Genomic DNA, 14,736 nt, shown 5'->3' on the forward strand with positions numbered 1-14,736 from the left:
GGGTTTCACCATGTTGGTGAGGCTGGTCTCAAACTCTTGACCTCAAGTGATCTGCCCACCTCAGCCTCCCAAAGTGCTGGGATTACAGGTGTGAGCCACCCTGCCTTGCCAGTTTAACAGAGTTTAATTGAGCAAAGAACGATTAGGGAATCCAGTAGCCCCTAAACCAGAATAGATTTAGAGCGACTCTGGGGCTGCCACATGGTCACGTAATATTTATGGACGGAAAATGTAAAGTGACACACAGAAAACAGAAGTGAGGTACATAAACAGCTGGATTGGTTATAGCATGGCATTAGCCTTATTTGAGCAGTTTGAACAGTTGCCCCCCTGTGATTGGCCAAAACTCTGTAATTGGTACAAGAGTAGATTACAGTCTGTGTACACATCCAGTTAGGTTACAGTTCCCTATGTTCGGAGAAACCTTTAGGCCAAACTTAAAATACATGAGGAGGCAGCTTTAACCTAACATGTTTGTTAGATTGATTCATGTTATTCCATGTGGCAGTAATTTGTTCATCTTTGCACTAGATATTGTTTCATTGCATTATATGTTAGAGTTTATTAATCTCTTCTACTTTTGTTGCTTGTTTGGGTGGTTTTCAGTTTTTGACTGTTATGAATAGTGCTTCTGTGGTGTACATGTTTTTGTATTTCTGTTATGTTTATGCCTGGGAGTGGAATTGCTCATTTGTAGGCCATGTGTATTTCAGCTTCAGTAGATCCCTGCAAAACAGTCTTCCAGAATGCTTGTACCAGTTTACCTTCTCACCAGCAATGTATGAATATTCCACTTGCTAAAGCATCATGGTATTTTGTCCTTAAGATTCTTGCCATTCTGGTTGGTGTGGGGTACATGGTATTTTAGTTAGAGGGTAACTTAGGAAATAGCTGTTATCTTTTATATAATAGCTTGCAAGGTAGCTAGCTAAGGAAAAGAATTAGGAGAGTTACAGATATTAAAAAAAAAAACAACAAAACCAAACTATGACAACTCTGACATGGTTGGTAAAGCAATTGGGCACATTTGTCAGTGTGTGAAAAACCAGAGGTTTCTGATGCAGGGAAGTGGGCCCAGTGGATTTGGCCACCATCTAAAGATGAGGGAATTTCTCAGTTCAATCCTCTACTTAAAAGAGTCTGCAGTTCCTGCTGCAGTCTCCATAAAGAACTTAGCAGCTGGTGACAGGAGAGTGAAGTGTCATAGGAGAATAACTGAAACACATAAACAGTAGTGCAGTTCGTCATTCTCTGAGATTGCCTAAAGTTATAGGCTAGGCAGCACTTAGCTGGAAAAGCTAGGGTAGGTAAAGTGAACACAGGTTGAGTATCCCTATTCCGAAAATCCAAAATGCTACAAAATCTGAATCTTTTTGAGCACTGGCATGACACTTGGAGGAAATGCTCATTGGAGCATTTTGGATTTCAGATTTTTTGGGTTAGAGATGTTGAACTGGTATAATGCAAATATCCAGAAAAATCTGAAATTTGAAACACTTCTGGTCTCAAGTATTTCAGATAAGGGATACTCAACCCGTAGTATGTTAGAGGACACGACTCACGTGATGAAAGGATGCTCGGTCTACTTTAGAAAAGGATTCATTCCATTAGCCCTCTATGTAGAGCCTTTCAGGTGTATCTCTAATGTTTGGTTTGCCTGAATTCCACTTACACACATATGTAATATAAACCCTGTTTCCCCTCCTAATATTGTAAGGATGGTAACTGCTATCTATTTGTCCCCCTCTTGTGGTCAAGAGATGTCACTGCAACATCTCTTTTTGAGAAGAAACCCATTTCTTTGCTGGGAGTGCCCAGGAGGAATTGGCCAAGAAGTGAAAAGCTAGATTAGCTGGTGCCAGGTGGCACCGTTTTTTGGTTCTGTTTTTAGAAAGCATATGGACAGTTTGACATTAAACAAACATATAACTTATACTGTCTCTGTTTCTTTGGCAGCTGAAGGCTATGCAGCCTTTCAGGAAGATAGCTCTGGAGATGAGGCAGAAAGTCCTTCTAAAATGAAGAGGTCCAAGGGAATCCATGTTTTCAAGAAGCCCAGCTTTTCTAAAAAGAAGGAAAAGGATTTTAAAATAAAAGAGAAACCCAAAGAAGAAAAGCATAAAGAAGAAAAGCACAAAGAAGAAAAACATAAAGAGAAGAAGTCAAAAGACTTGACAGCAGCTGATGTTGTTAAACAGTGGAAGGAAAAGAAGAAAAAGAAAAAGCCAATTCAGGAGCCAGAGGTGCCTCAGATTGATGTTCCAAATCTCAAACCCATTTTTGGAATTCCTTTGGCTGATGCAGTAGAGAGGACCATGATGTATGATGGCATTCGGCTGCCAGCCGTTTTCCGTGAATGTATAGATTACGTAGAGAAGTATGGCATGAAGTGTGAAGGCATCTACAGAGTATCAGGTACTGGGAATGTGCACTTCACTTGATGGTTTTTAATAATAACTTCAGTTTCATTTTTCGAAGGAAGAAAAATTATTGTGAGGAAAATTTGGCCTGGATCCTAAGCCTTATTCATTTCCTTGATCCTACCAGTTGCACAAAAATCCACCCCTCTCCCCAGCCTTTCTTTGGTGTTCTGGCATTTGTTTTTTTAATATTTCCTTCCATTAGGAGGATTTCACGTTAGTTGTTCATAGCTTGCAGCAGCCAGGACTAAAACAAAGTGAAGTATACTGGCAGCATTGCTTAACAGGGCTGCATTCAGACCCTGCTTTTTTTTTTCTTTTGTTTGTTTGTTTTTTTGAGACAGAGTCTCGCTCTGTTGCCCAGGCTGGAGTGCAGTGGCGTGATCTCGGCTTACTGCAACCTCTGCCTCCTGGGTTCAAGCGATTCCCCTGCCTCAGGCTCCTGAGTAGCTGGGATTACAGGCGCCTGCCGCCACACCCAGCTAATTTTTGTATTTTTAGTAGAGGCAGGGTTTCACCATGTTGGTCAGGCTGGTCTCGAACCCCTGACCTCAGATGATCTGCCCTCCTCGGCCTCCCAAAGTGCTGGGATTACAGGAGTGAGCCACCACTCCCAGGCGCCTGCTTTTTTTTTTTTTTTTTTCTTTCCTCTCTAAGCAGAGGCTCAGTGGTATGAGGGCCATCAGCAAGAAAAGAAAGGTTAACTGTGTGAAGGAAGCTTCTTGGCCAAGAGACACGTTTATGGACACAGTCATATAATGCATTTCCTTAGCTCAGCTAAGAGGCATGACATGGTTTTGGTTTTGGTTTTCTTGGTGCGCGGTTCTTAGAGTTAGTGCAGTACCCGGTCAATACATGGAGTGGTCCAAGCAAGCTTCTGTTCCATCTCCCTGCTCCAGAAATCCTAGAACAGATACTACACCCAACTTTAGCCAAAAGACCAAGAAGCAGTAAATGTTTAGGCCCCACATGTGAATGCTTTGGTCAGCTACATGCAACTATTACGTATATTAGCAAAATGGATTTTCTATTTATCTTTATTCCATATGTATACAAATTAAATTTCATACTTGGAAAGAATGTGTTTTGATTGGGTATCTAAATCAAGCAATATGTATATTATTTAAAAGTAAAAAGATTTCTTAGAAAGCGGTATGACTTTTATACCAGGATAGGATGAAAGCCCTGACCTGTAGCAGCATCTGTGTTCCAAATTATTACATTCCCATTATTCAGTGTCTTGGTACCTCATCAGTTTCTGTTTAGAGATTTGTTTTATAAAGTTAATTGTTGGCTGAGGCAGGAGGATCACTTGAACCCAGGAGTTTGAGGCTGCAGTGAGCCATGATCGTACCACTGCACTCCAGCCAGGGCGAGATTGAGACCTTGTCTCAAAAATAATAATAATAATACTTGTTGGTCACAAGTACTTTCATGATGAGTTGTTAAGTCATACACATGTGGAATATATAGAGAGATAGACTTAGTTTTTTCATTTAGTTGGTTCATACGCAATTCTAGAAGGTAGATTTGATACTTAAGTTTTGCTGAGAAAGGGCAGATATTTTTGATAATTGGGAAAACCGTTACATAATCCACTAGATTACATGCCATTATTTAAGAGTATTTTTGGTAAAATGTTACTTTTTTATAGAAAATTAAATAAATTAGGCATTGAATTTGAGTTTATAACTCCTTAGTATTATATAAATATATTTAAACAAATATTTGATTTTTATGAATAATTGGCTAGGCATGGTAGCTCACGCCTGTAATCCCGGCACTTTGGGAAGCCGAGGTGGGCAGATCACGAGGTCAGGAGATTGAGACCATCCTGGCCAACATGGCGAATCCCTGTCTGTACTAAAATACAAAAAATTAGCCAGGAGTGGTGGCGCACGCCTGTAGTCCCAGCTGCTTGGGAGGCTGAGGCAGGAGAATAGCTTGAACCCGGGAGGCAGGGGTTGCAGTGAGCAAAGATCGCGCCACTGCACTCCAGCCTGGCAACAGAGCAAGATTCTGTCTCAAAAAAAAAAAAAATAAATAAATAATAATAATAATATACTGAATTGAGTTTTAAACATTTAAACATTAATAACATAAGTTGCTTCTCTCACATGGTCTTAATAGCCATGAATTAGTTTTGTTTTAGGTAAAAGTTTTTCTGAAAATTTTCCACAGCTTTGTTCAAAGGATTCTTTTTGTCTCTGACCTACTTTTAATGTCTGCATTTTTTTTGGAAATTCAGAGTCATAGAACTCTTCTCTGTGTGTAAAAGCATTCAGACAGAGCTGCTGCCCATCCTTGCAACAGCTAGGGGCTGAACTCCTGCTCTGCTGAGTTTTGGGTTTATTCTCTAACCTGTGGCAATGTGCTGTAGTCAGCCCGACTTATGCTACTGTCATGGACAGTGCTAATAATAATACTGCCTTTTGCTGGAGATGTTAGTTCTCACTTATGCATTTTAAGACCTTTTGCTGGAAGTGTTAGTTCTTGCTTATCTAATTTTAAACGAATATGAAAGACAATTTAAGTGATTTTGTACATTTTAATTTACTCATCTACATTTTCTTGTATTTTTTGGATTAAAGTGTACCTGTATGCTCTTTCTTTCTGTGGAACACTTCATTTGTAGTGTCCAATTTTTAAAAAGAAAACATTTTGATAACAGTTTCAGAGTAATGACAAACCAAACACACATTCTAATTGTCTACTTGTACAATTTGTTGGGTAGGTACTATAGGGGGAAGAATTAAATATACATGAGGAAGAGAAAAAATCTTTGCCAAGAATTTCAGTTATTATCACTTATGGTTTACCCATATTGTCATAAAAGTAAGAAAATGGGAATTCTAATTTTCTGTCACAAAATAAAGATTATATAAAAATAATAGTGTTATTTTTGTGTTTTGTTATTGATTTTATTTTATCAATACTGGATAAGTTACAGATTTATCATAATGCCATTAAAAGATTTTCACAAAGGATAAGGAATGCCAAAGTCCAGATGTAAGGAACCACTGTGAAGTGCTGTTCAGCTTAGACTGCATTTACCCACAGAAACTATCAGCGTTAATTTGTAGCTTGTTTCACATAATTGGCTGAAAGTGTTAAGTATTAAAAACAGCAAAAAACTACTTTGTGTTCTTCTGAGCAATCGCCACTAAATTACGTCACTTAATGCAGATTGTACTAAAGACTTAAAATCTTATGTAATGTTTGCAAATCATTTGCTTTAGTTTCCTTTTGTTCAATAAGCAAAACGATTTTAGAAACCCATACTTTATTTTTTTTGTTCCAGCTCTGTTCAGATTAAGGTTATACTTAAAATAATCCAAACTTTAAAATAGAAATTAGATGGGGATGATTTAATGGAGAATAATTTTCAAAGTGTTTGTTTGGGTAGCTAATTCACCCTTTGCAATTACAGTACAATATTTACACATAAAAAAGTAATTTACCCACAACTTTTTGGAACATACTTAGGTACACCAAGCCACATTTTTTTGTGGTCAGTCTTGTGACTTGTTAGAAAAAGCAGCTGGCTGCCTGTGTAGAGCCAGACTTACACTTGGATTGTAGTTTAATTTTTGTCTTTTTACCTTTTTTTTTATTTTTTTGAGACAGAGTTTCACTTTTCACCCAGGCTGGAATACAGTAGTGTGACCTCGGCTCACTGCAACCTCCACCTCCTGGGTTCAAGCGATTCTCCTGCCTCAGCCTCCTGAGTAGCTGGGAGTACAGGCACCCGCCACAATGCCCAGCTAATTTTTGTATTTTTAGTAGAGACAGGGTTTCACCATGTTGGCCAGGCTGGTCTTGAACTCCCTACCTCAGGTGATCCACCTACCTCGGCCTCCCAAAGTACTGGGATTACAGGTGTGCGCCACTGTGTAATGTTTTTACATTAAAAACAAATTCCTGAATTAATGGGCATATTTGCTTAATATATCCATGGTTGCTTTGACTTCTGACTGTTGAGCTTTTCAATTATCATTTAACTTTTGGTTAAATTCACTTTTGAAGTTAGTTTTTTGGGTTTGTTTTTTGTTTTTTGTTTTTAGATGGAGTCTTGCTCTGTCACCCAAGCTGAAGTGCAGTGGTGTGATCTCGGCTCACTGCAACCTCTGCCTCCCAGGTTCAAGTGATTCTCCTGCCTCAGCCTCCCAAGTAGCTGGGATTACAGGCGCACACCACCACGCCTGGCTAATTTTTGTATTTTTAGTAGAGACAGGTTTTTGCCATGTTAGCCAGGCTGGTGTTGGACTCCTGACCTCAAATAATCCTCCTGCCTTGGCCTCCCAAAGTGCTGGGATTACAGGTGTGATCCATGGTGCCTGGCCTGTTTTTAATTATTTTTTTTATTTTTTGAGACAGTGTCTTACTCTGTTGCCCAGGCTGGAGTCCAGTGGTGCAATTATGGCTCACTGCAGACTCAACCTCCCAGGATCAAGTGATCCTCCCAACTCAGCCTCCCAAAGAACTTGGACCACAGGCGCACGCCACCATGCCCAGCTAATTTTTGTATTTTTTGTAGAGATAGGTTTTGACCATGTTGTCCAGCTAGTCTCGAATTCCTGGGCTCAAGCTATCTGCCCGCCTCAGCCTTCCAAAGTGCTGGGATTATGGGTGTGAGCCACTGCGCCCAGCCAAGTGTAGTCTTACATGTTAGTGTTTACAGAGGAACTGTACGACCTTTGTGCAGATAAATATTTCATAACAAGAGGTTCGTTATTGGTCAGGTTGCTGTTCTCATCTCCTTAGCAAGGGTGGGGATAATGGTAAAGAAAACTTGTGTGTTTGATTTTCTTTTCTCAGTATCTTCTCTCTTCTGAATTTGAATGTTTTAAGGAATTAAATCAAAGGTGGATGAGCTAAAAGCAGCCTATGACCGGGAGGAGTCTACAAACTTGGAAGACTATGAGCCTAACACTGTAGCCAGTTTGCTGAAGCAGTATTTGCGAGACCTTCCAGAGAATTTGCTTACCAAAGAGCTTATGCCCAGATTTGAAGAGGCTTGTGGGAGGACCACGGAGACTGAGAAAGTGCAGGAATTCCAGCGTTTACTCAAAGAACTGCCAGAATGTAACTATCTTCTGATTTCTTGGCTCATTGTGCACATGGACCATGTCATTGCAAAGGAACTGGAAACAAAAATGAATATACAGAACATTTCTATAGTGCTCAGCCCAACTGTGCAGGTACATGGTCTTCTCTACACATATACCCTCTGGTACTGACATTGGGGAACTGGGGTAATTTTCTATTGCTGAGTCACATGTAAAGCAGTGAACTTGAGGAGATAGGTAATGGATTAGCTTGAATACGGGTCTTTTCCTTTCATAATTTGGACAGTGTCAATGTATAAGATAACATACTTGCCCTTTAGCTTGTAGTGATGTAATTTGAATGCGGTACAGTCTTTGATGTGGGTTTATAAACAAGACCTGATGACAAGGATCCTTCATTAGGGGAGGAGGAGCCCATGGCATCTACAGTTATAGAGTTCGTGTGTAGAATTTTAGAGATCCCAGTTATTTAATCAATAGCATTATTGCTTCGTTAGATCACAGACACACATCAAACTCAGGCACAAAGGGACCTGTCATTAATTGTTTGGTCAAAGATTTAGCCTGAGGATTTCATTCATAAGGATGGATCCTAGAGAGACATGTTATAGGCTCTGAATCTGAAAAGGAACTTCAGGGAATTGGGTAGTGTGTTAATTGGTATCTTTTTACGACATACATACTTGGCTTTCCTTTATTGCTGCTCAGTTGGTGCTGTCATAGAGTATATGTTTTCTTTTAATTGCAGTTAATGATATTTTACTCAGGCCAATAAAAAGGGAGATGATAGGTTATATTTATTATCTTAAGCCCTCTTTTTGGCCAGTATTCTGAGTCACCATAAATCACTGTCACTGTTATTAGAGAGTGTTTTCATTTACTAAAGAGCGTTTCAGTCAGGCGCGGTGGCTCACACCTTTAATGCGAGCACTTTAGGAGGCTGTGGCAGGAGGATAGCGAGAGGCCAGGAGTTCAGCCTAGGCAACATAGCAAGACCCTGTCTCTACATAAAAATTAAAAATTAGCTGGGTGTGGTAGCATGTATGTGTAGTCCCAGTTACTTCGGAGGCTGAGGTAGGAGGATTGCTTGAGCCCAGCAGTGAGCTATGATCATGCCACTGTACTCCTCTCTGGGTGACAGAGCAAGATTTTATCTCTAAAAAATAAAGATTCTTCTGTTACTCATTGATTACGCTTTGAAAGCAAAATGTTTCTCAGATTTTAGTTTGATCATTAGGATTTCAGGATCTGGTAAATATTACATTGATACTTAATATTACTATAATATAATAGAGATGGTTGTATCATAGAAGAGTCAAGTGTGTTGTAAGAGTAAGTTTTAGGTAGGAAATAATTTCTTGTAGTAGCTTTTCAGCCAACCTAATGCCCTGGCCTCCTAGCATATGAACATCCATACTTAAATGCTGGCTGTGTCCAGGTATTTGTTTCTGGAGTGAGGGCTTTCAACCTCAACCCAGCTTTACTACTGTGGTGCTCCCACTTCCCTCATGGTCCTCATTCATTCCATTGCGTCTGTTAAAATATGTCAAAGTAAGTTGAAAATAAAGAATATAAGATGTTTTAGCCGGGCATGGTGGCTCACGCCTGTAATCGCAGCACTTTGGGAGGCTGAGGTGGGTAGATCATTTGAGGTCAGCAGTTCGAGCCCAGCCTGGCCAACATGGTGAAACTCCGTCTCTACTGAAAATACAAAAAAATCAGCCAGGTATGGTGGCACACGCCTGTAATCCCAGCTTACCGGGGAGGCTGAGGCAGGAAAATCGCTTGAACCCGTGAGGTGGAGGTTGCAGTGAGCTGAGATTGTGCCACTGCACTCTAGCCTGGGCTACAGAGCGAGGCTCCATCTCAAAAAAGCACCACCACCGCCACCAACAACAAAAAACACACAAAAAATAAGATGTTTAAATCAGTTAATACTGTGATAGAAAAAATAAACAAATGGATGGCATCAACTTCTCTATCCTTTTCTTGACTTTTTTTCCCTTCAGATCTTTCTGGTGCTTGAATACATGATTTAACTCATATTTTACCATTTTCTTCTTAAATTGGCTATTAACTAGCAAAGACTGTGTTGTCATTACTGGGTAGAATTTTCTTTATGTGTCCAGGATTAAAGGATATATTATGTAATAGACACAAATAAGTGAAATAGAATGATAGTTTTAATGGTTTTCTTGTAAATCTTTTTTTCTTAGATCAGCAATCGAGTCCTGTATGTGTTTTTCACACATGTGCAAGAACTCTTTGGAAATGTGGTACTAAAGCAAGTGATGAAACCTCTGCGATGGTCTAACATGGCCACGATGCCCACGCTGCCAGAGACCCAGGCGGGCATCAAGGAGGAGATCAGGAGACAGGTGTGTGCACCCTGCCTGCCACAGCCTGCCTCTGCATTGGCTGTTGTGGAGTCCAGTGGTGATGGGCTCTTGTTTCCTGAACACTTTCTGTGTGTCTGGAGCTATGTTAGGCACACTGAAGTCAGAAATTCCCATCTGGTACTGTTTCATGCCAAATAAGTCAGAATACCATGGTGGAAAGAGCATAGTTTTTGGAATCAAAACACCTGGCTTTAAATTCTTGCTCTGATCTAGTTAACTGATTTTAGGCAAATTCTTAACCACCTTAAGCACTGGTGTTCTTGCTTTAAAATGGATCCTCTTATAGGATTGATGTGAAGATTACCCCAAATGAGATAATATATGAAACATGCCAGGCACGTTGTAAATAGTCTAAAGATGTTTGCCTTTTCTTGACAAGGTTGCTGTCATCAGCCATATTTTATAGATAAGAATATTAAAATTCAGGGAAGTTAAGTAACTTACCCTGTGTGACATGATTACTAATTACAGACCCAAGATTTGAGCCCAAATCCTGGGATTTTTTACTGTGCTATTTTGATGGAAGTAACAATGCCGTGTGTGTGTGTGTGTGTGTGTGTGTGTAATTCAAGACTAAATAAGAAAGTTAATTACATTTGATTATTTATTTGCATGCAATTTATCAAACCCCTGCTTGCTTTTCTTCCCTTGTATCTGCCCTGAGCTCCCAATGCTTACTAGTTAATGATGATGACATTGGAGATGGGGATGTGGATTAAGTATTATTGAACCAATACAAATTAGTGAATAATTAATAGGCAAAACAATAAGAATGATTTTTCAATCATATCTTCAAAAAAATAATTAGTGCCATTATTTTACTCTAATGAAATAAAGGATAATTGAAAAATAGTTGATTCTTCATCTTTAGAAATTGCACGTGTTGTTAGTTTAAGATAAGAGGATATGAAATGCAACTAGGTGTGTGGCATTTGCTTTCTAGGAGTTTCTTTTGAATTGTTTACATCGAGATCTGCAGGGTGGGATAAAGGATTTGTCTAAAGAAGAAAGATTATGGGAAGTACAAAGAATTTTGACAGCCCTCAAAAGAAAACTGAGAGAAGCTAAAAGACAGGTGAGTTATTATTTTGATACCTAATGTTTATAATAGAATGTGTTTGAGTCTTTTATGTACTTTATGTACTCTTTTTTTTTCTTTCTTTCTTTTTTCTTTTGATGTTGACCAGGGTGGTCTCAAACTCTTGGCCTCAAGTAATCCTCCCACCTCGGCCTCCCCCAGAGTGCTGGGATTACAGACATGAGCCACCACCCCCAGCCCAAGTTCTTTCTGTTAAGAATATTATAATGTCACTTGAAGTGAACTTCTCTGGTGGGACATTTATTCACTAAAATGTTTCTAGTCCTATATTATTGATATTGCAGCCTGGTGTCAGTCACATGTTTCAGTGTAATCTAGAAAGTTTTTTTTTTTTTTTTTTTTTGAGACAGGATCTTGCTCTGTCACCCAGGCTGGAGTGCAGTGGCACGATAATGGCTCACTGTAGCCTCGACCTCCTGGGCTCAAGGGATCCTCCTACCTCAGCCTCCTGAGTAGCTGGGACTACAGGTGTGCGCCACCATGCTCGGCTCATTTTTTATTGTTTGTAGAAATAGGGTCTTGTTATGCTGCCCAGACTGGTCTCAAACTTCTGGGCTCAAGCAGTCCTCCCACCCCCCAAAGTGCTAGGATTATAGGCATAAGCCACCATGCCTGGCCTAGAAAGTTTTGTTTTAATTAAAAATGATTTTACTAAAAAATTTGTCATTTCCTGCTTGGTTATACCTGTAAACAGGGCTTTCTATGGATGAAAAACAGGCTGGATGGTGACACACCTTTGGGGACTGCTGGGGAATTTAAGGCATTTAGAATTAGTCAGCTCTTTGGAAATGTAGTGATGAGGGTCACCTGGAAGGCCTTGAAGATCAGGAGAGATTCTATTTATGTAATAATAATAAGAGTGGCCTGCAATACCTGATGAGTTTAGGGTATGCCAGTCAGACTTTTGAGTTCCCTCTTGTTTAGTGTGTGTTGCTTGGTTCTGGGACTGTGAGTGTACCAGCCACAGCAATGGTAAAATCCCAGATCTCTGGATCACCTTAAAATCCACATTGCAGATCAACTGCAGCATCTAAACAGCACATCCAAGGAACATTAGTTAGCCCTTGCCTGAATTGGGGAACATGATAGTAGGTCTCTGTTGTGGTTGTGTTAAAGAGACAAAGACAACCTGAATACTTCTGTTTCTTTGAGGTTAGAGATTTGTATTAATGTGGAGGATAGCTTTGTCACACGGGGCACATTCATGGGACTTTTACACGTGCGCTCCAGGATATGTAATGTAGCAGAAGCCCTCTGCGTATTTTTCTTCCTTCTTTTTCCTAGCTCACTAGGTTATCTATCTCTTGCTTCCTTTACGTGTTTTTTGTTTTTGGTGTTGGTGTTGCTGTTAAAATTTTCCCTTCATGTCTCAGCCTAGAATCAGGTATTAGAGATGGACCACTCAGGCTTCAGGGGCAAATTGTAATTGTTAATCATATGGCATTGCCAGTCAGCCTTTAAATGAAGAGTCCCCTGACTGACCTAGGACAGGGCTGATGGAGGTTTGGCTTTTGTTTCTCTTGCTTCTACATCTTGCCTAAATAAAGGAATCATGGTATAGCAGCCAGAACCAATATAAGAAGGGATGGATTAACTTTGCTTTACCGATTTTCCCGATGCTATGTTTTCACGCCAGCTCATTAATTCACAAAATGCACAGAAGATTCTACAAAAGTCTAATGTATTTTTATGTATTAGCAATGCACAATTGGATATTGAACCTAAAAAAAAAAGAGACCTAAGTAAATGGAGAGATAAATCATGGATGTGGTACACAAGATTCAATATTGTTAAGATGTTAGATTTTCACAAATTTCAACTTTGAGGAATAAATGACTTTTAAAGACAGAAGTAATGTAACTTATCATATTAACAGACTAAAAATAAGAAAAACCCACAACATCGTATCAGTAGATGCAGAAGAAGATTTAGTAGAATTCAATACTTATTCATGATAAAATTCCCAGCAGATAACTTTCTCAGCCTGATAAAGGACATCTACAAAGAATCTACAATTATCATACTTAATAGTGAAAGACTAAATGCTTACCCTAAGATTGGTGTACACTGCAGGGATTTCTGCTGTTACCACCTCTATTCAGCATTGTACTGGACGTTCTAGCCAGTGCAATAAAGCAAGAAAAAAGACACACATATTGGAGAGAAATAAGTTTTTATTCTTGGATAACATGATTATCTGCTGAGACCAGCTTGGTCGGGGAGACCCTAACCCAGTGGCACTAGAGGAATTAAAAGACACACATACAGAAATATAGAGGTGTAGAGTGGGAAATCAGGGGTCTCACAGCCTTCAGAGCTGAGAGCCACACACAGAAATATAGAGGTGTGGAGTCTCAGCCTTCAGAGCTGAGAGCCTCTTATTGATAGCAAGCCAGTGATAAGCATTGTTCCCATAGATTATAGATTAACTAAAAGTATTCCTTATGGGAAATAAAGGGATGGGCCGAAGTAAAGGGATGTGTTCTGGCTAGTTATCTGCAGCAGGAGCATGTCCTTAAGGCACAGATCGCTCTTGCTATTGTTTGTGGCTTAGGAACGCCTTTAAGCAGTTTTCCACCCTGGGTGGGCCACATGTTCCTTGCTCTCATTCCGGTAAACCCACAACCTGCCAGCGTGGGCATCATGGCCATCACGAACATGTCACAGTGCTGCAGAGATTTTGTTTATGGCCAGATTCTGGGGGGCCTATTCCCAACAATTATCTACATATAAAATCCTAAGGAATCTACAAAAAAAGAGCTAATCAGTGAGTTTAGCAAGGTTGTAGGATACAAGACCAGATATACAAATGTCTAGTGTATTTCTTTATATTAGCAATGCACAATTGGATATTGAACCTAAAAAAAAAAATAAAAAGAGAGAGACCTAAATAAATGGAGAGAGAAATCATGCATGTGGAACAGAAGATTCAATAATTGTTAAGATGTTAGATTTTCCCAGATTGGTCTGTGGGTCCAACCCCAATCAAAATCCAGACAGATGGTATTTGTGAAAATGAATAAGCTCTTCTAAAATTTATGTGGAAATACAAATGACCTAGAATAGGTAAACAGTTTTGAAAAAGAACATAGCCGGAAGATTGGAGGACTCATACTACCCGATTTCAAGACTTACTACAAAGCTGCAGTTCATCAAGATGGTATGTACTGGATAGGGATAACATACAGAAGAGAAAGTTCAGAAGTTGACCTACACATATATGGGCAATTACTTTTTTTTTTTTTTTTTGAGACGGAGTCTCGCCCTGTTGCCCAGGCTGGAGTGCAGTGGCGCAATCTCAGCTCACTGCAAGCTCCGCCCGCTGGGTTCACACCATTCTCCTGCCTCAGCCTCCCGAGTAGCTGGGAATACAGGCGTCCGCCACTACGCCCGGCTAATTTTTTGTATATTTAGTAGAGACGGGGTTTCACCGTGTTAGCCAGGATGGTCTCGATCTCCTGACCTCATGATCCACCTGCCTCGGCCTCCCAAAGTGCTGGGATTACAGGCGTGAGCCACTGCGCCCGGCGGGCAATTACTTTTTAATGAAGATACTAAAATAATTCAGTGGGGAAGGGATATTCTTTTCAACAAACAGCGCTGGAACAGATGCAAAGAAAAAAACTTTATCTGTACAACATATGCAAAAAATAGCTTGAAATGAATCATAAACTAAGACTAAAAAAGCTTCCAGAAGAAAAAAAAAACAGGAAAATATCTTACTGTCCTTGGCTTAGGCAGTAATTTCC

At 39.8% G+C, this 14,736-nt stretch overlaps 1 protein-coding gene and 1 pseudogene across 8 annotated transcripts in view; one reads left to right on the plus strand and one right to left on the minus strand.

The window, feature by feature from the left end:
• The window catches only part of RALBP1 (ralA binding protein 1), a 63,106-nt gene that overhangs the window by 39,880 nt on the left and 8,490 nt on the right, over positions 1-14,736 (plus strand). For all 8 annotated transcript variants that reach the window (XM_047437278.1, XM_047437282.1, NM_006788.4 and 5 more), the window contains 4 exons: positions 1,957-2,415; positions 7,272-7,621; positions 9,706-9,867; positions 10,832-10,963. In XM_047437278.1, the coding sequence (XP_047293234.1) occupies positions 1,957-2,415; positions 7,272-7,621; positions 9,706-9,867; positions 10,832-10,963 (1,103 nt within the window). The remainder of the gene's footprint in view (positions 1-1,956; positions 2,416-7,271; positions 7,622-9,705; positions 9,868-10,831; positions 10,964-14,736) is intronic.
• RNU2-27P (RNA, U2 small nuclear 27, pseudogene) lies at positions 3,231-3,372 on the minus strand (annotated as a pseudogene).

The sequence above is a fragment of the Homo sapiens genome, chromosome 18 (genome assembly GCF_000001405.40).
Source record: "Homo sapiens chromosome 18, GRCh38.p14 Primary Assembly".
NCBI lineage: Eukaryota > Metazoa > Chordata > Mammalia > Primates > Hominidae > Homo > Homo sapiens.